Raw genomic sequence first — 22165 nt, forward strand, 5'->3', positions numbered from 1 at the left:
GATGCCAGTCCAGCCACAGATCCCTGAGTGTCACCCCCTCCACCTTTGCACTCCCTGCCACACACACAGAAATGCATATACACAACACATGCACACGCATGGGCTTGGGCCCCAGCAGCCATACTTCTGTTATGTGACCCTGACCTCTCAGCCATAGGTGCTTACAACAGGTGTGGACATGTGGACACCTGACCCAAGCTGCACCACTCAATTCCTCTCTCTCCAGAATTAAAGTCAAGAGAAAAAGCAAATGGGAAAATATTGCTGAGTAATGTGGATGTCAAGTCTCTAGAAGAAAAATCCACAACCTTGGGCCCTAGAGGTTCCTACTTCATTCTTCCTTTTTCCTGATCACTGGGTTATTTGGCTTTTTCTTTGACTTTTGGAGCTACTGCCTCAGGATCCTTCCAGCAAATTTTGCCTGAGCTTAAGCTAATTTGAAGTGGGTTTGTGACATTTGCAACCAAAAGAATTTCAACTAAGCTATGAGACAGCCCCCAGGCAACTGATAAATACCCTCTCCTAATGCTGCTTCATCCTGTCTATTATAGATTTAATAATTAGCTGGTTAAATTATCAATTTATGCAAGTAACTATCACAAGTTGAAACACTTATTTTTAAAAGCTATCTCTTTTTTTGGAAAGTTTGATGGCTCTTAAATAGCTATTAGAAAATATACTTTAAAGTTAAATAAGTTACATATGTCTCTGTACACATATATACGCAGAGACACTAATATTGGAAAGTTAATTGAATTGTCAATTGTGTAATATGAAATTTTAAGTTTAAAGTTCGTTTTTAGTTTTGTCAATTATAAAATACTGTTTACTTGTTGCAGAAAATTTGAAATTGTGTTAGTTTTGTCCCACACATTATACCACAGGGCTTTACTTATAGTTTATCTGATCCTAATCACAATCTATAAGGTAATCACTATCCCTGTTTAAAGACAAGAAACTGTATGTTGTATAGTGTGTGTGTGTGTGTGAGAGAGAGAGAGAGAGAGAGAGAGAGAAGAGGAGAGAAGAGAGAGAGAGAGAGAACCCAAATCATTAAATCAAACAAGTTTATAGCACAGACTAACCGTAAAACATATGGAAAAGGATAATGATTACTATAAAGCAATTCATAATACCTATCATCATTGGGAGCAAATGCATGCAGAAAAAGCTTACTTTGGAGAACCTATTCAGATTTATGCTCTGCAGCCAACATAAATATGAAAAAAAGTCTATACATTTCCACTGCATTTGGCAAAAATAAGTAAGAGTGAGGGATGCCCTGGATACACTTGCTGAGTCACACTTGCCACTGAGGCAGGCAGGAGGGAGCATAGCATCATGGAAAATAATCATTCGTAGGCAGCTTTGATGTGAACGTGGTTTGCATGGTTTAAGGAGGTATGCTCTTGTCAACAATACCACAGCTTCCATGTCAAAAGGCAGGTCTCTCCTAAGAACATTAAGCATGTACTTATCTCCTCTAAGACGTGAGCAGATTCTATTTTACACACCCGTGTGGAAGTCAGCGGGGTATTTTAAGGGCTCCCTCAGTTATTAAATTGACATTTAGGAGGGGTGCAGTGGCTCACACCTGTAATTCTAGCACTTTGGGAGGCCGAGGTGGGCAGATCACGAGGTCAGGAGTTCGAGACCAGCCTGACCAACATGGTGAAATCCCGTCTCTACTAAAAATACAAAAATTAGCTGGGCATGGTGGCATGCACCTATAATCCCAGCTACTCAGGAGGCTGAGGCAGGAGAATTGCTTGAACCCAGGAGGTGGATGTTGCAGTGAGCTGAGATCATGCCACTGCACTCGAGCCTGGGCGACAGAGCAAGACTCCATCTCAAAAAAAAAAAAAGATTAAAAATAATTTCACAAGTAATCTATTTTTACTAGAAAAGTTTGAACTTACAACTAGCAAAAATAATAAACTCTTCTATTGATATCTGGATGAATGTCCTTTCATACTTTTCTAAATATCTATATAAACACACTATATTTCATGAAAATGAGGTGAAAAATGCCTGCTTTATTTTACATAACAATATATCGTCAGCATTTTGTCATTGTAGGGAAACAGTTCTCCATGAGCCTCTCACGTTTCTGCACATCTTGTGAGCAGAGGCATTCTCCACCTATTTTTCTGTCTATCTTTTCACAGATATTTATATAGTGAACAGGTGTGGAAGATTGGGGTAGCGTCTCCCTTCAGAACAATGGCAGATGTGTTCATTGTTAACTATAAAAGATTTGGGTTTCCTAAGCTTGGAGTTCCTGTTCTGTAATACAGCCACTGATGGCAGTGCTAGTGTTACCTGGCCCTTTCCTGTAACTCGGTGGTAATTAGGACTTGAGAAACTGGCAGGAAAAAGGATCCTGAAATTCTGGCTCCTGATATTGCTGTGAGTATTAGAGACCTTTGTTCCTGACCCAGGAGTCTTGTGTCTTCTTTCATGAAGCTATAGCAGAGTTGTTAACTCACAAGTTGGGTAAAATCTCAGACTCCCTGTGGTTCTAGACAATTATATTGCTAAACTATTTTTCAACATCATCATTCTTGATAGCTGTATTTTGACAAGTGCACTCCGATGTCTTTATCTAATTCCCTGTCGGATTCTTAAACTGTTTTCATGGTCTTGCCCTTGAATATAATATTTGCATACAACATATTCATACAACATATTCATCCCTTATAAATAACTTTTCTAGATGAAGATTTAAGGAACTTTTGCTCTTGATGAACTGCATATTAAATACCATTTCAGATTTTCTGGGTATTTAACAATTAATTTCTATTGACTGCTCCTCTGTCAGTGGTCCTGAAGGTCAGGCTCATTGAGGGGATGGATGGGTCAACCCATGACAGATGATGGGATGGCTCAAGTGTCAGAGGCCAGTCATCCTAGGGTTAGCTGTGAAAATAGAAGGCAAAAGGTCAGAAATCCAAAAGGATGATATAGCTCAAAAACCTCACAAATACGTTCTCACCCTAATATTCCACCTCTACAATTTCACGTTTAGTTGTTGCCAAGTGCATGCACATGAGACAAAACAAAGCCAAGGCCAAAGCCTGGCTAATTCAGCTGGTAATAGACAGTGAACCACTTATAGGTTTAGACAGTTATTATTTTTATATAGACAGTGAAGAGGGGGGCCAGTTCCCCATGATCTTTCCCAAACACCAAACTGAGCAACCCTGAAATGGAAGGGATCAGATGACTACACCATGAGCTGGGGCACTTGCAGATTTTGGCTGAACAGTTTCGTGTTCTGCAGCTCTACTTTTGGAGTGGGGGAAACAGGGCAGAAAGCGCCAAACCTTGTCAGCACCCTGGAGACCTTGAGAAACTGATTCATGACAACCTCTCAAGGAGAGAGGGAGATGAGTGGGAGATGGCTTCACAGCAGCTCCTACAAGCCTCATGTCCTTGGAGGAGCACAGGCATTGTGCCAAGCCATTCAAGAGGTAGCTTCTCTGGTTAGGTGCAAGTCACCAGGGCACCATGGTGGAGCCATTGCCCCACACTTACCTTTTTATCCTATTCTCTCACATTTCCTCCAACCTCTGCCCACACACTATTGCCTGCTGCTGCACATTCTCCAGACATACACCCCACACACCTGCAGCTGTGCCTTGGTTGCAGGTGAGCTTTTAACTGGGGCCGTTTGCCTCCATCTCATACCACCTAGCAAAGTCCCAGCTACCTCCAAGCTGAGCTTGGTGCCTTAATATATTTAATGATGATGACATCCCAAGAGCCAGCAGGGTGGGTATAGTATACTCATTTTACAGAAAAGGAGGGGAGTTGTTAGGGAACTTGCTCAGGGCTCTCCAGTAGCAGAGCCAAGATTCAACTCCTTTGATCCTTTGCAGGATGCAGCACAAAGCCTAGCTCATAGCAAGTTAGAATAAAATGTCTGGAGAGTCACATCAAATGAATTGCAGCAAGGGGGCATCAAGAGGAACTGAATCCACAGTCTTGGATAATCAGATCTAATGGTGGGTGCCAGAGCAAGTGACAGTCAAGGTACATGAGGGATGGGGCACTATCAGAGTCAGAGCTAATTCGGCCTGAATCCTGGGCCTTGTACAGTCTGGTCTTGAAGGGGCAGGGCCCAGCGCTGGTAGAGCTGGGGACTAGCTGTGCTATTGGAAGGTTGTGTTTGAGGAGAGAGGATTTGAGCATAGAAGGGGCATTAGCAGGTTTGGGGTTCATCCTGATGTTCCCTAGCTTCTCCCTTCTCTCTGGAGTCCCTCCTCCCCCTGGCCTGTCTTTAGCCCTTTTAGTTCCAATCACTTTATCCTTTCAGCCTGGCCGAGCTCTCCCGCTGGTCTCATTCTCCTCTAACCAGACCTGGGGTTGTCGGCTGCTTTTGGAATTCACCATTAGGAGATGAAGAGGCAGCCACAGGTTGACTGAGCAAGCGTCATTGTCTATTTGAAGTTTCAAAGGTATCTCTGAAAATAAACACAGTTTTCTGCAAGAGTGAAATGGCATCTGTGGTAGAATTGGAAAGACAGTTGTCATTTTGCTTGGAGTTCCTCTTCTATAGATGGCAGCTGGGCCTTTCAAAGTCAAGGGTGACAGTCTGCACATGGCTTCTCCCCAGCACTGTACTGGCTGGTGGGGGTGGGGTGCAATACAAGAGAAATAAACTTCCCCGGTTTGCTGCTCTGACTGAGGCCTCCTTCCCCCACCCCCTCATCAGCCAGGATGCAGGACTCCCTATCTGGGTATCTTCCACATTGAAAATTGTGCTGTGTTGAGATAACATGGCACAGAGATTCAACCCACAGGGGTTTTGGGGTTAGGCAGGCATAGCTATAAGCCTCAGCACTGCCCCTCTACAGCAGCTTTTGTAATGTTGAGCAAGTGACTTTGCCTCTCAGAGCCTCCATTTCCTCATGTGTAAATGGGGATAAGAGGATCTGCCTCCTAGGATGATAGGGATGGATTTAGTGAAATAGTGCATGTCAAGAGCTTATGAGTGTGTGGCCACAGCAGGAATTCATTACTGTTGCTCTATGACTGTTATCAAAGCTGTGGCCCACATGTACACCCGGCTAATGGCTAATGTGAGGTAGGCTGTGATGCCTGCTACAATGAAGCTGTGATTGTAACTATAGCCCACACCCATATCCCTGGGTCCCACACATGTGGATTCAACCAACTACAGATCAAAAATATTAGAAAAAAATAAAAGTAGCAATACAACAAAAATACATATAAGAAAACCCAGTATAACAACTATTTACGTAGTATTTAGGTATTGTAAGTAATCTAGAGATGATTTAAAGTATACAGAAGGAAGTGTGTAGATTCTATCTAAATACTATGCCACTTTGTATCAGAGACTTGAGCATCCATGGATTTTGGTGTCTGATGGTGGGGAGTCCTGAAACCAATCCCCCATGAGTATTGGGGATGACTGTATCATTATTGGGCCATCTTCTCCCTTGGGGAAACCAGATCTCCACCAGCATTAATAAGGCAATTGCTGTGCCAGAGACCATTAATATTGAGAATCTCATGTTTTCATGTTACAACATCATATTTAAGGATGTATAAGAGTTCTTTATCACTGGCAATAAACTCTAAAGATAAATGAGCCAGAGCCACCAAGGAATAAAAACTCTCCATCTTTGACTGTACACGCCCAAGGATGACGCTGTTACCCTTAGATCTAAGCCATAGGCCTGAACACAGGCAAACAGCTGTTGGTTAATGGCCCTGGAGATCTGGAGGGCTGAACAGAAACTCCCCAAATGATAACGTTCTGGGGAGTCATAGCACTGATGCATTCACTAGGCATCTACCTCTGATCTGGAGGAAGTCCATGCTGCTTCAAATTCAGAGACTGTGCCCTAGGCATCGTTTTGATTTTCCTCCTCTCCACCCCACTCTATGCTGTGAAACTGAGATTAATTGAACTGCTAAAATGATGAAGTTATATATACCAGCTAATTTTCCAATGGTCAGCATGACCTTTTATAGAAGTGTGTTCAGCATTTGAAAATGTATATTTTTTCAACATCTTACCATAAAATACATATCAGAAAGTAAAGTTTTAAATGATTTTCTTTTATACTGGCAAACTAGGAAGTATGAGATGTTCATTTGCCGCAGAGTTAGCAAATACATAACCAATTATGAAGTCTGAGAATATCACAGTTGACTTAAGCAGCAAATAGTCGTGCCTATGTAATTCCATTTAACTGGTTACTCAGCTCTTTTTTGAAAGGCATTATTTAGCTTGTTAGGGAACCTCAAAGGGAATCAGTTTTATTAAGCAACTAGACAATTAGACCTTGGAGTATTTAAAAAGATTACAGGCAGACAAATAGTACTGCAAACTGGCCTGTGAAATACATTCAAGAACTCCATAGACAGAAATAAAGATTTACAGAAGTCCTTTTTCCTATTGTGTTCTTTCTAATTACCTTTTTAATTGTGGTTTTTCTAATTGAGATTGTTTTTTCCAATGTAAGATATCTACTGCATAAATATATGCATATTATCTTCATAATACTTGTATTACAGATAAGCTAAAAGAAGAAAATGACCCATTTCAAGAAATAACCAATATCAATTCTTTGCTCTAAACTTTCCAGAGGCCTGTATAGTACAGCCAGATAGCCAAAAGCCTAGGGGCCAGAGTCCGAGTGACTGGATTTATAGCCTAGTTTTATCACTTATTGACTCTGATCTTGAAAATTCACTTGAACTTCGTTTGATTCCATTTTCTTATCTGTACAATTGGGATTTTAAATTGTACCTTCTGTACAGCATTTTGGGATGATCAAATGAGATAGTATGTGTAAAGTCTTAAATCAATGGCTGGTATTTGGTAAGTCTTCAATAAATATTAGCTATTTTATATATCTTATATAGACAGTGTATAATGAAAATGGGATTTTATTGTATGTTCTGTTTTTATAGTTCACTTTTTTTTTTTTTTTTTTTTTGAGACGAGTCTCACTCTGTCGCCCAGGCTGGAGTGCAGTGGCACAATCTTTGCTCACTGCAAGCTCCGCCTCCGGGGTTCACACCATTCTCCTGCCTCAGCCTCCCGAGTAGCTGGGACTACAGGCACCCACCACCACACCCGACACACCCGACTAATTTTTTGGTATTTTTAGTAGAGACGGGGTTTCACCGTGTTAGCCAGGATGGTCTCAATCTACTGACCTTGTGATCCGCCTGTCTCGGCCTCCCAAAGTGCTGGGATTACAGATGTGAGCCACCGCGCCCGGCCTATGGTTCACTTTTTATTTACTGGCATATTGTGAAGATTTTTCTATATAAATAGATGCACATCTCTTTATTATTTTTAATAGCTATATAATATTGCATCATCTGCTGCTTGATAAATTACCAGGTAGGAGGCTAAGCAGAGCCATGGTTTAGGCCCCACCCTTCCTTGCTAGAGCTCAGTGAGGGCAAAGCTTCCTGCCCTACCCCAGGTCACCCCTGATGTGCCACAGTGAGTATTTTTACCTTGGTTCAAACCCTGTGACCGAGTTCTCTGCATTCATGGGCTCCTTTACAGTAGCAGAATGCCCAGCTAGCAGAGGCACTGGGGATTCCCACCATCGAAGGCTGCTCAGGGAAGAGAGCCTCTTTCTTTGCTTCTAATAAACCAGCATCTCTGCCATTTGCATAACTTCTGGAGAAGGGCCAATACATTTTGGGAAGATGCTTGTTTTCTTGCAGAGGCAGCTGAAACTCATTTGAATAACCAAGTCAAATCAATTCAGAAGAAGCCAGCTCAGCATGAAAGCAAGGATTATCATTCTTGTTCCTGCCATATCCCTCCAAGTAGCACAGTGAACCAACTGCAGAATCATAGACTCCGTGCTTTAGGATGTGCAAGGTGACCTGGTCCTCCTTTACAGGTAAGCGAGTGGAGGCATGACCCCAGGTCACATGAAAAGTAAGGGGCAGAACAGGGGAAAACTCAGGTATTTGGACTTCATGTTCAGAGTTCTTCCCACTCCACTCTACTACCTTCTACTCTCTCTCATCCAAGAGAGATTGAAAGTGACTGCAGGTGCAGACTTTTGTGAGAGGATATAATTAAAGCGCTACTGTTGATCTCTTTTGTTCCCACTTGGTCAGGACATCTTGGGGAAAATTAGGGTGGACAGAGCTACATGGGTTAGGGAGGAATAGAGTGCAAGGTAACATCAATGAAAACGAGTTGCTAAAAAGAGAAAATGATGTTACTGATTCAATCCTCTAAGTGGCTAACTCAACAACAGCAAATATGCTGTGTGTGTCCACCACTGGGGCATCCTATCGAAGAGTTTGATGCATGGAGAGACAAAGTTCAGTTCTTGGCAGGATGAGAGGAAACATTGTGCTGATCTAATATGGAATCCATTCTCAGCTCTAGCATTTGCCCCCAAGGACCGCATAGATGTATGATGTTCCCTGAATTATCTTTTCAAAATGCAAGTCTAGGCTTGTGGTTCCCTGCCTTAAACCCTGTCAGTGGCTCTCCATTGTCTTCTGAGTGACCTACTGACCCCTCAGCAGGAATCTTTGGGGGTGAGAGCAGCAAGGAAGGGGTAGGATGATTATGAGAGGTAGGATGAGCTTCTTAATTACACATTTCTCGAGGTCTAGAGCCCTCCAGTAATGGTACCTGGCAGAAAACAGCCTTGCCCTGCAGAGTTGTCTAGAAGTGGATGACAAAACCCAGCGGGGCCAGGCCCAGAGTACTGGTCCTACCTTGACGGCAGGACCTCAGCCTTATAGATTTCTGCAGGGTCAACCCAGAGAACATAGATGCATGGAATAGACCAAAGCAGTTATTTGCTTTCCCCCGACAAGGCCCTTAGTGTCTGCGGCTCACCCCATCTAATGGACTTGGAGTTCGAGACAGCTGTTGACCCTGTCACTTTTCCAGTTTGATATTTAGTTATCAGTGTGCTCAGCCCTTATCTTTTAGATATTTGACATTCAAACCCCAGTTGGGACTCTTGTACATCAGCTGGCTAGGAAACATTTTGGGTAATTGGATGGTGGCACTACCTGCCAGCTACCAGTTGGATTCGGGTGCTGTCTTTCAACATCAGTGTGTACTTATGCAGTTTATTGCATTTTAAAATTGTTATATAAAAATCAGTAAAAATGAAAACTGAAGGTCTGATATTAATGGTAAGAATTAGTGGCCTTATAAATGCATTCAATTGAGGCAAAGATGAAAAGCAATAGCACGTTAACAGTCTTTGATTTTGAAGAACATGCACCAAACAGAAGGCAATATATTGACAACATAATTTTTCTATGCCTTAAAGATAGGGCTAGTTAGAATTTTCATAATTTGTCTCTCAGAGATCAGAAGTCTTCTTCTAAAATATATTATCTATTTTCAGTTTTCACACTACTGACTGATGTTCAGAAGGAAGGTCTTGACGTCAAGCATCTCCTGCCACAAGGAAAACTTTAGGGGGAAATGTGAGCAAAGTGCAGAGGGTGAGGCTCATGAGAGGGGTGGACAGGTGAGGAGGCAGTGCTGAGTTCTGAAGGCCGCCCTGATGCTGAGATTCCATAGCTGGGGCTACCCTCATGACCCCTAAAACTCTCTTATCACTAAATACCAAAGGACTGTCCCCTGAGGACTGATGGACCAGATACACAGTGTTAAAATAAAAACTTTAAATAAATTAAATATAACAGAGTTTAACTGAGCAAGAAAAAGAAAAAGATTCACGAATCAGGCAGCCATCAGAATCACAGCAGATTCAGAGAGATTCTAGCACTTGCCACATGGTCAGAGCAAATTTATGGACAGAGGGGAAAAAAAGGAGCCTGCAGAAAACAACAGTGAGGTCCAGAAACAGCTGGATTGGTTATGGCTCTGCGTTAGCCTCCTTTGCACATGGTTTGAACAGTTGGCTGCCTGTGAGTGGCTCAAGCATGGCTGCTGGGATTGGCTGAGACTCTGCTAGCTTACAGAAGCATACTCCTGCGTTAGTTTTCGGTTTGCCTGCCTACTATGTTAGGTTACAGTTCCTCCATAAGAACTCAAGTATGAGAGTACAGAGGCTTTCTCAGACCAGATCTTAGTTTGACTTTACAGTGATGCTGGGCTTGGTGTGAGATGTGGGGAAAAGGCACGGGCTAAGAGTTTAAGAAGAGGTGGCTTGAAGCCAGTAATATGCTCTTGGATGGAAACAGCTTTTTACTTTCACTCAGGGGCGAAGACAACTGGACCACGGGCTATAAAGAACTGTGCTCTACAGAAATGGGACAGAAATGCCTACTGAGGGCCTAGAGTGCCTAGTACATTAGCGTTCATTACATGTTGAGGGGTCCCCTTTTGTCAAGTAGAGGAAGCAGAAGTTGGTCACATTATGTTAATATATCTGTGTCAGTCGTGTAGTTATCAAATGCCCCTTGCTGTTCTCTCTAATCTTTTCACTACTCTCATTGGGGAAAGGAGATGAAGGGAACCGACATTTGCAGGTGGGGCTGCTGCATATGATTATGGAGAGACTATGTGAATGACACCCTTGGCATTGCACAGTGCACAACCTATGCAGCTGTACAGGATGATCCTGGCTGTTGTTTGCCTCCTGTTGTTATAGCAGGTAGCTAGTTTTGCATGAAAAGGGCAGGATGGGGTTCCCTCCCACTGCATCAGGAAGGTCAGGCGACCATCAGGCAATATGGTCAGGCGGTTGTTACACTGTTTCTCTAAAATGGTAATTGGTCGCAGCCAGCACTAGGGAAAGGCAGTCTCCCAATAGACAGAAAAAAACCTGAAACTGGTGATCAGCAGTTTCCCGATAAGATCTCAGGAGTTGGGTGAGTGGGCTCAAGCATGTACACTAAGAGGCAAAATGGCGGAGTTTAACTGGTATATGACCTTCTCAGAGCATTCATCTGGTGAGGGAGGAATGCCTCAGGTGAGCATCACACAACTCCAGGAAATGGTTGTAGCGGCTCCTCCCAAGTGCTAGCAGGCCACTGTGCATGCAGGTATCCCACATCAAGGGAAAAATCAGGGGAGAAGAGAGGCAAGCTCCAAGAAGTATGCCAATATTATAAAACCCTGAGTCAAAGGTCAAACTGGACACTTGATCTCTCAAGTTGGCTGCTTGGCCCTCTTGCAAGTGTATTTTCCTTCCTTTCATTCCTGCTCTAAAGCTTTTTAATAAACTTTCACTCCTGCTGTAAAACTTGCCTCGTTCTCTCACTCTGCCTCATGCCCCTTCAGCTGAATTCTTTCTTCTGAAGAGGGAAGAACAGGTTGCTGCAGACCCATACAGATTTGCTGCCAGTAACACTATGTTTATAGTACTGTGCTAGATCTTCCTATTATCACATCAAATTGCACTCCTAAAAGCCCTGGGAGGTGGGATTATCCCCACTTGTCACTAAAGAAATAATGAGTTGGAAAAGTTGAAGGATGTCCCAAGATCACAAAACTAGGACTAGAATGAAAACTGTAGTCTGACTCAGCCAGCTCTTTCTCTTTTCTTTTAAAAAAAAGAAAAATCTCTTTCTTTTAAATTATACTTTAAGTTCTAGGGTACATGTGCACAATGTGCAGGTTAGTTACATATGTGTACATGTGCCGTGTTGGTTTGCTGCACCCATTAACTCGTCATTTACATATTCACAGGTGAATTCTATCAGAGGTACAAAGATGAGCTGGTACCATTTCTTCTGAAACTATTCCAATCAATAGAAAAAGAGGGAATCCTCCCTAACTCATTTTATGAGGCCAGCATCATCCTGATACCAAAGCCTGGCAGACACACAACAAAAAGAATTTTAGACCAATATCCCTGATGACCATCAATGCGAAAAATCCTCAATAAAATACTGGCAAACCGAATCCAGCAGCACATCAGCTAGCTCTTTCAGTCATCCCAGAGAGTTTGGAGCTGAATGCACCTATGTGCAAATGAACCATCCACCTAAGAGTGCAAAACCTGTGCAATACACAGAAGCCCTGCGTTCCCTCACTGCATGATGCTTTCTGTGTCTGGCATTGGCTCCCAGAGACTGGCTCTCTGGAAGTTCGAGGAGGAATTACAGCTTTAGCAGGAGCCTGGGTTCTTCAATCCAGAATCTATGCACTGAATCGTAAACTCTCATTTGAATTTGATCTCCTGCATTAGCTCCAGAATCTATTCCTTCTCTTCTTCCTTGATACTTCTTTTCATCTTTTTATGTGAAGGATGGGAGTCCCTGCATTATTTAATGCTCAGTGTCCTTCACAGCTGGGGCAGCAATTCTAACATTGAGCTATAAAACATCAGAAGAGAAAAAAGGAAAGTCTGCCCCTGTTACAGGAAAGGGGTCCCAATCCAGACCCCAAGAGAGGGTTCTTGGATCTTGCCTAAGAATTTACGGAGAGTCCACAGTGCAAAGCGAAAGCAAGTTTATTAAGAAAGTAAAGTGGTGAAAGGACAGCTACTCGATGGACAAAGCAGGGTGTTCCCTAAAGTAAGAGGGGGAATGTGTCCACCCTAGTTACAGTGCTTGTTTATATACAGGATAAAAAAGATTGGGCCGGGTGCAGTGGCTCACGCCTGTAATCTCAGCACTTTGGGAGGCCGGGGCTGGTGGATCATGAGGTCAGGAGATCAAGACCATTCTGGCCATCATGGTGAAACCTTGTCTCTACTAAAAATACAAAATATTAGCCAGGCATGGTGGTAGGCACCTATGGCCCCAGCTACTTGGGAGGCTGAGGCAGGAGAATTGCTTGAACCCAGGAGGCAGAGGCTGCAGTGAGCCGAGATGGCGCCACTGCACTCCAGCCTGTGTGACAGAGCGAGACTTCATCTCAAATAATAATAATAATAATAATAATAATAATAATAATAGGGAGATCTGCTCTGTTATAAGGGTTTGTGATAAAGGACTAATTTTCTTAATTACTGTATTTCGCAAGAATCAATACTATCTTTAAAGCAAAACTAGAAATGCGTTTGTTCTCAAGATATTGGGATATCAGGACACTTCCAAGTCTGGGTGTGTTTAGCAAACATTGTCAATCTATTCCCCTAACCGTAAACATCTAGAGGCTAGAAATACCTCAGTTTCTGAGAAGGCAGCCCAGCAAATCCCAGCCTCATTTTCCTAGCCCTCATTCAAGATGGAGTCACTCTGGTTCAAATGCCTCTGACACCCCTAATCAAAAAGGAAGAGACTGCTGATGATGCCTTTAGGACAAAGGCACAGAACTGGAAGGAACCTGCAGAGAGGAGCTGCCAGCCCCTACCTTCTCTCCCACAGAAAGATGTGCTCAGGTCAGAGAAGGATATTTTGGTTATCAAGGGGAGATGAGGCATGAGAGAGAGAGAGAGAGACAAATAGACAGACAGAGAAACAAATAGAAAATGATTATAAGGCTGTGGTTAGAAATTCCATGGCTCAATGGACCAGGCAGCCACACAAGTGAGTAAAGTAGGTGGTAGAATCCATGGCAAAATGGAGATGTCATGCTCTAAAGGGGCTGTACCTACTCATAGACCCAACCAGTTGTGGCCAAGTACTTATCCCATGTACTAGGATGTACTAGGACTGGTTTTAAGAAAATCTAAGCTTTTGAATTTTAAAGAATAATTATAATAGCTACCACTTGTGAAGCACTCAAGGCTGAGGGCAGAGCATGGAGAATCTATTTGGGAATAAGAGGAAGATCAGAAGTGAGTGGAGACAAAGGAGCTATGAAGAGTAGCAAACAAACAGAAAATCACATCCATGGAGACAGCAGTGGAAGGGAGGGAGGTGACCATCTGCAGTGGCACCTGGCAGAGAGGTGGAGACCCAGGATGGACAAGGAAAGGCTGGTGAACATAGTGTGCAGGATGGCTTCGGTGACCTCCCAGGGACTAATTTCAGCAGAGGGACAGAGATCAAAACAGACTACAAGGAGCGGGCAAGTGGGTGGGTGGAAGAAAGCAGATGCAGGTGGCACTACTCGTTTCAAAAGTTTGGCCAAACTCCTTAGAATTCTGAGTTTTGTATTCCATCCCCATTAGTACCATTAGTTTCAGTGGCTACTTTCAATTAGTTCTCCACGCAGGCATCTGCAGCCTTTTCCTTCCCACTGTTCAAGCCTATTATCAGAAAGAAAAAAGGAAGCAACTCAGTTGGGATCTTCTTTTTAAATGTTCATCAAAGAAAGAAAATCAGCAAAACTGCTGAGTTTATTCTAAGCACAGCAGTGTAGAGTCCAACCACCAAATTTATTTCCACCTGAATCTCTAATGAGGGAGGGAGAGGTGAAACTGTCATTCTTCAGTGCAAATTTCTTCAGATTTACCTGTAGATGGGGAAACTGCCAGGCCTCCCTTAGGACTGCATTTTTTTGGTGACAGCCATTCCTCCAAGACACAAGAACCCTCTTATGCAAGTCTTTTGCTCAAGGTCTCCCTCTTGGTCTTCCTAAAACTTGCTTGGAACTGCAGTGCAGCCTGAGACTCCTGCCCAACCCCTCTTCTGTCCTTCTGTCATTCACAGGTGTCAGAGTGGCACAGCCATTTGAGAGCGCTCGCAGTTGCCTCCACATCACAGGTGTGTGTGTCACAGGTGGTGTGACCACCAACACTGACTTCTAAAATGTTAATCCAACTGCCCCCTTTTTTTTTTTTGAGATAGAATCTCACTCTGTCACCCAGGCTGGAGTGCAGTGGCACTGTCTCAGCTCAGTACAACCTCTGCCTCCTGGATTCAAGCAATTCTCCTGCCTCAGCCTCCCTAGTAGCTGGGACTACAGGCACACACCACCACGTCCAGCTAATTTTTGTATTTTTAGGAGAGACGGGGTTTCAACATGTTGGCCAGGCTGGTCTTGAACTCCTGACCTCATGGTCCACCGGCCTCAACCTCCCAAAGTGCTGCGATTACAGGCATGAGCCACTGCTCCCGGCCCCCTGACACTTTTAAGGAAAACAATTGTACCTCTAGTTTAACATTTTGATGTAGTACAGGCTTCTGCAACTGAGCACTTGTAAATGCCTTATATTTAGTTGTAATGCCATTTGGGGCACTAGGTATGGTGCGTCATATGAAAAGAGGCCTTACGTTATAGAGTCCAAAGGATAGCGCAAATGTGTTCCAGTTTCCTGATCCTTCCATAGAGACTCCAACCTGGGCACACACATGGGCATTCCCTTTCTTTCCAGTCACCTTCCCTGACCTCACAATCATGATTATTTGAGCTCTTTTTTCACCCTAGGGCTCCTGGCTGCATCCCAGAAGTGTGTGTGGCATCTTCAGGTTCTGAGCATCACTGTAGGCTCAGTTCTGGAGAGGAAGTGGCAGGCACTTAGCTGAAGAAAGCCTCACTTCCTTCGGATTTTTCAGACTTGAGCTTTAAGAGGACAAACAGCCCCTCCTCTAGCTAAATTTGCCAGCTTTAACTCATATGCTTTTATGCCAACCTACCAAAGATTTTTTTTTCCATCTTTTTATTAACCTTGCCAAACATTCCCAGGAGCTCTGCCTGGAGTGATGGAGGTAGGGGGAAAGGGAGAAAAAACGGAAAACAAACCCATCTCATCACAAGTATAAAGCTCTAAGCGTCAGGAGATAACGAACTAAAGTTATATAATTTATTTAAATATTCTTCCACCTGAGAGAGAGCTTAAAACCCCTAAGAGTCTTTTCTGAACTACACAGAGGGGAGTGGAAGAAAAGATGTTCCGATTTAATTCCTACATTATAATGAAAGCAATTGTCCTGTGTGTATCATTATTTTTCCATTATCTTAATGCATCAGTTAATGAAAATTTTCAGAGCCCATTCACATGGCTACAGTAGCTGAGAAGTTAGATTGCATCCTCCACCCTGTGGGTACAGATGCAGCTGCACTGCACATGGGTTGTCTTCCACACATCAAAATCTCACCAGTGCTAACCCTAAGTTGGGCTGCATATGCCAGCCTAAGGGTACAAAGCAGCTTCCATTTCATCCAGATGGATTTCTCTCCCCCATTACCTTCCATTTGCAGCATCACTGTAGACATAGCCCATTCAGAAGGTACCCTCTGTGTTGATGATAGCAGATTCATAGCTCTTGGGCACCACAGGCACTCGGGGATCCCAGACACTTCGGGCATGACACACAACTTTGGGACAATAACTTCCTCTGTATGAGAAGAAACAATATTTTTAATGTGTAAAGAGTTCAGACTTTATCCACTGCCTGCATATAACAATTTCAGAATTGCCAGCTTTGCTTTTCCTGTACTTCCCCCTCTTTTCCTTATTTTTGAGGGCAGAAAGGGCAAAAGCTTATGCAAAGCCTGATGAGAAAAGAGATGGGAGAGAAGAATGTATTTCCCAGGCAGCTTCATGGGGAGCAGGAGGATGAAACTGGTCAAATGGGTCATGATAGGAAAACAAGACACTCAGGTGGCAGGGACAGGACCATCTGGATGAGAGAGAGTATACTCATGGCGTAGGAGTGAGAAATCTCTGACTAATTGGGGGTGGCAGAGAACAGAACAAGAGAAGTTATAAAGATTTGGTGTAGATTTTGCTCTTGGATCCCCCATGAATTTTTGAGAAAGACCTAAGTAAAATTAAATCCCCTTCATGGGTTGCAGTTCTTCAAATGTGATACTCTTCTGAAACTGGCCCACTGGGTCTTAGCTTTACGGGCAGGATATTTTGTTTCTTGGCCACTCTGTGCCCATCTACCATCCAAGCACCAGGACTAATGTGAAGGGGCAACAATGTAGAATTACAGGCTTTCAAAGGATGAAGTCACATTAGAGATAATCGACTCTAGCCTCATATCTAATTCAGGAAACTTCCTAGTGCTCCCTTGCCTCGTCTCTGGTTAAAGGATTCCAATAATATGAATTTCAGGTCCAATGTAGAGGCAGTGTAGGTGTGGTTTCCAGACATTTACAATGGTTAAACTCCTGTTCCCTGAGTGTTAGGTCTGTCACCTGGAAAAGAGTCACAACAGTCCCTTTCTAGAATGTCAATGAGGGGAATAAAGAACAGAATGGATGCAGATATGCTCCAGAAAGAACAATGCAGATTCTAATCATCGTGAGTACGGCCTCCTGACTCAGTGGCCTGGATTGAGTCTACATGTTGACCAAATATCTGGTCAGTTTAGTGAGGTCCAGTGTGGAAACATCCATAAAATAAGTGATCTACTGGAGTTTTGGTTTTAAAGCTCTGGTGACATGCTAATACCCAGCTGTGCTCAATTAACAATGAGAAAGCATGTTCAAAAGACTATCTACACCAGGTGGATAGAGAACCTTGGAAAACCAACACTTTTCCAATCAAAATTATTTCATTCGTAGAACTTTTTAGTAGCTATTTCAAATATCCTTTCATTTAATGAGCTTGGTATCTGAATAAGAATATATCATAGGAAATGGGAGTCTTAGAAAATCTGACACTAAAGTAGAAAAAAAATTGAAAGAAAAATATTCCAAAATAAGAGTGGAGGAATTCAGGACAGCTTATTTTTCTTCCGTGTTGAAAATTCTCTACAATAATGCTATAATACCTTAAAAATAACAATCGTGTTATAATAATACTAAGCACAATTTAACGGGTAGCTTTATGTATGTTCTTAGGTTAATTATTTCACCTTTCACTACTTCAGTTTCTTCATCTTCACAGCAAGGGGATTCAAATAGATGCTACATAAGGACCTTTCTTATAACAACTCTATTGTGTGAAAATTTCACTTACATGCAATAGATGTCACCCCATTCAAAAATCTTTCAGCTTCACAGTAGATTATTTTTCCGTAGGAAAAACACATCTTTTGTTAACGATTATATGCATCTTGCCTCAGAAACAATAAATACAAGAATGACAGACGTTTTACGTCTCAGAAATTTTTCACTAATACAAGAGCAAATAATACAAGAATGATAGACATTTTGCATTTCGGAAATCTTTGACTAATATAATACAAGGGCTATGACACTGTGACTTTGGCCATGAGAGGATGGGTGTTATACATCACATTTACACCTGGTTTACCCAGTGAAAACTGGCAAGTCTCAGACGAGTTAGTGCCCTTTGAGTCCATCCCTTTTGTAGTGCATAAGCTTCACCGCCATTCGCAGCATACACAACCTGAGTGCTCACCTGACCCAGGGCAGCTACCATTGCCTGAGTTGACTGCCCAGCCCGATAAGCCATTAGGTAGACAAGAATGTGGTGGATATGCATAGCAGTGCCTTTGAAATTTGCATCCTCCTTAAAATCAAGCTACATCTCATATGCAAAATATAAAATTAAAAGAAATTCATGAATGCAAACACTACTGGGTCTAATTTTAAAGTATAATTTAAATAAAATAGAGTATTAACTACACATTGGAAAGGAAGAATTTTAAGAAAAATCTATACGAGTATTTAAAATGTTGGATTTTTGCTGGGTGACACAGTGATAAAAATCCAATATTTGGTGCCAGACAGACTAACTTTCTAGGTTTGATGCTAAGTATTTAGCACCTCTGAGTTTCAGTCACTTCATTGGTAGCATGGGCATGTGGTAGGTTCCTTTCTCCTTCCTTGGATAACCTGAGTTATCTTTAATTCTGTGGTATAGTTTATAAAATGTTGGAAATATTTTATACAGATCCACATTTCCTTTCAAAGTTTCTTGGTACGTGTGATAGCAATACATCTCCATCTCACTGTGCCCTCCTTGCCTATTGATGAAAGGAATTGGGAAGAAAGGCTACAGTTTCTTATCATTGTGATTACTAATTTGCTAAAGCATTAAATTAATAGCAGATCCCAGGTCCTAATCCTCCAGTTCCATAAAGGGATAAAGGCATGTCTATTGTACCACCAGCTATGTATGCTGTTGTCTTGTTGCTTCTTGAAAATGAAGCTATTTCTTATGTGCATAAATAATCTACTTTTTTAATTTTTATTTTTTGATGAGTCTTGCTTTGTCACCCAGGCTGGAGTGCAGTGGTACAATCTTGGCTCACTGCAACCTCCGCCTCCCGGGTTGAAGCGATTCTTCTGCCTCAGCCTCCCCAGTAGCTGGGATTACAGGTGCACACCATCACGCCTGACTAATTTTTGTATTTTTAGTAGAGATGGGGTTTCACCATGTTGGCCAGGCTGGTCACGAACCCCTGACCTCAAGTGATCCACCTGCCTCAGCCTCCCAAAGTGCCGGGATTACAGGTGTGAGACACTGTGCCCGGCCAATAACCCACTTTTGAGACTGGAATTTTATAGATGCACATGCGAGACTATGCGGCATAATTTAATACATATTGTTTTATTGTGGGGATAGGAAAAACAAAAGATATATTTGTAAAATTCTACAGTAAAAATGCAGTGCTAGCACTCAGATCTTCATAAATGATAGCATCTGTCGCCATCACTGCTTGTTGCCTCTCCAGCAGCTGTCCCCCGCCTATACTCCCCTGCTGGGGGAACCTGGATCAATGACAAACAGAAGCTCAAAAGGTTAGAAACTCACTTTCCAGTTGCTCTTGAGCCACTGGCAGCCATGACACCTAGTTTTATCCAGAGACATTGGTGGAAATACCTTGGGGGATCTTCTTGGAAAGATTTTCCTCCTGGAGAGATATGGGCTAGAGCTCTACCCCATCTTGCTTTTGGACCTTTGGAAAACTCAGAAAATAGCAGAGGCAATAACCTGGTATCCAGACATAACTGAGTTACTGAACCAACCCCAATAATCAACTGCTTCTGAACTTATTATTTGGAAGGAAAAATAGTCCTTATTGCTTAAACTGCTTTTAGCCTGCTTTTGGGTACTCTACTCCTTGCAGTTGAAAACATCCCTCCGACTGCCTCTCCCACTGTTCCACTCTGGCTCTGAGCCTGCCTACCTCTTGCTTTTATCCTGGTGTGATCTCTGGCACACCCAAGCATACTGCCAGAAAAAAAATGACACAAAGTTGGCCTTTTCTCAATCCCTTTGAATGCACTGCTCCCACATGTCCTGATGAGAGACGTGAGACCCTGAAATCAAATTCCCTTAGGAGCCTCAGGGAAAGGGACTGAAAAGGGCAGAGCGGGAAGGAGGGGCAGGCACAGGTGGGTTGGTGACACTGAAGTGGCCTAGGCAGCTATCACATGCCCTGGAGGAGCCGCAGGGCACATGAGCTGCCCCTGACCCCAGCAGGAACCACGGGCTGTGAGCTGCAGCCCCTCTAGTTCCAGAGGTGACCTTTACAGGCTAAGGCTGAGTTGTCCAATTGTCTGAATCCTAAGAGATGGTGGCTGAGAGAAATGCCATTGGCAATTGCCATCCACAGGGCTGCAGAGAGATGGCGGAAGTTTCAGGGAGTCCCTGCAGCAGGGAGAAGCAATTCTACAGCCTCTGCCTTGATTAATGATGCTCTGTAGGGCACTGTGGAAACACTGGCAAGGGTTCTACGAAGGACTGGGCTACTAAGGAACTGCTGAGTTGCCAGCTGAGGCACCTTGCTGCTCAAATGTCCCCAGCTCTCTGCATCCTCCTCTCGTGATTCACCCTTGACATCTGTGCAGTAGAGAAGGAACATATTTCTCTGTTATATTCACCCCTCACTGTAGACGGAAAATAGCTTCCCCTCACCAGGAGACTGTCTCTAGAGAGTGAAGCCCGCAAATCTAGAGTTGATCCAACTGTGAAGGACCTAAAGTTCTAGTCCCACCTTCAGATGGCAAGCAGTAGATGCCACCTGGGCAAAGATGCTTATGCCTGCAGAGATCAGCAGGCAAGTCCCATGCAGGTAAATCACAGACTGGCTACTTTCACTAAGACATGAAGCTCTTCAAACTTTGGGCAGCAGAGCAGGATGCTTTGTTTATAAACATTGGCAATCTCGAGTTTTCTGAAAAGCTTGGAATGGCTCACAAGCCTTCAATAAATTCCAGTTTCTCCAATTCTTTGTGCTCAAGTGTACTGACACAGCACAAAATGAAGTGGAAATGTAGCAAGAGATGGTCGAGTTGGTGACAACCAGCTGATATCACTAACTTGTCTATTGACGTCACTAATATCAAACCATGGCTAAGTTTCCCCAGAGCTGTGCCCATGTAAGCATTGCAGTAATAATCATAACAGCAAATATGATGGGATGTGCCAGACACCAGGCTCATGTGCTTGTCGCCGTTTAATCCTCATGACCCTATGCAATAAGAATTTCCTTTTTTTTTTTTTTTTGAGACAGAGTCTCGCTCTGTTGCCCAGGCTGGAGTGCGGTGGCACGATCTTAGCTCACTTCAACCTCCGCCTCCCAAGTTCAAGCAATTATCCTGCCTCAGCCTCCAGAGTAGCTGGGATTACAGGTGCCCACGACCGTGCCTGGCTAATTTTTTTGTATTTTTAGTAGAGACGGGGTTTCATCATGTTGGCCAGGCTGGTTTCGAACTCCTGACCTGAAGTGATCCACCCACCTCAGCCTCCCAGAGTGCTGGGATTACAGGCATGAGCCACCGTGCCTGGCCAGGAATTTACTTTCTGTGTAGCATTGGCAAGTTACTTATTCCCTTGAAGCTGATAAGTAACAGAGCCAGGACTCAAATATGTGTCTGGTGGAGTCCAGGACCTGGGCTTTAGACCACGGTGCTGTCCCATGTCCTCTGAACTGGCCCTGGGAAGCTCCACCTTGCGCTCCACTCATCCTCACAGTGTCTTTCCCCTGACATGTTGCTTTTAGGAAGGTGGCTAATTAATAGGCTCCGTTATTTTTCAGGTGATTTGAAAGGGCAGTTGCAGACCCATTAAAGGTCAGCAAGTTCATGGAAGCCAGGGTGACTCAACGATGACTTGCAATGGTGCAGCATGAGAGCATCTGTCTAGCAGTGAAGTGGGTCCAGGGCCAAGCTCACACTGCTGCTGGCTCTGCCCTCCTGTTTCTATGGTATACAGCAGACTGGCATTACACTTGCCCAATAAAACAGGGACATTCCTAATTAATATCCCAACAACACTTTACTTAGAGTGTGTGTGTGTGTGTATGTGTGTTATAGGGTGTGTGAGTGTAGTTAGAGAGAATGTGTGCGTATTCTGTGGTATTATAGCATAAATGATTTGCATCATATAAATGAAAGGGAACATCACTACTCTTCTGAACACAGCGATTCCTTATGGCATCCCATCACTGGCAAGAATTATGCTTAAGGGTTAATCTATAGCTTCTAAGTCAATAAAGCCATGTGAAT

At 43.3% G+C, this 22165-nt stretch overlaps 2 long non-coding RNA genes across 3 annotated transcripts in view; one reads left to right on the forward strand and one right to left on the reverse strand.

The window, feature by feature from the left end:
- LINC02930 (long intergenic non-protein coding RNA 2930) overlaps window positions 1-22165 on the forward strand; it is a 216730-nt gene that overhangs the window by 152175 nt on the left and 42390 nt on the right. The window lies entirely within an intron of this gene.
- WDR11-DT (WDR11 divergent transcript) overlaps window positions 1056-22165 on the reverse strand; it is an 89368-nt gene continuing 68258 nt past the window's right edge. Inside the window, exons 2-3 of the long non-coding RNA NR_033850.1 lie at window positions 15979-16128; window positions 1056-2919 (exon numbers count right to left, since the gene is read on the reverse strand). This is a non-coding gene — a long non-coding RNA (WDR11 divergent transcript). The remainder of the gene's footprint in view (window positions 2920-15978; window positions 16129-22165) is intronic.

Source organism: Homo sapiens, chromosome 10 (assembly GCF_000001405.40).
Source record: "Homo sapiens chromosome 10, GRCh38.p14 Primary Assembly".
NCBI classification, from domain to species: Eukaryota; Metazoa; Chordata; class Mammalia; order Primates; family Hominidae; genus Homo; species Homo sapiens.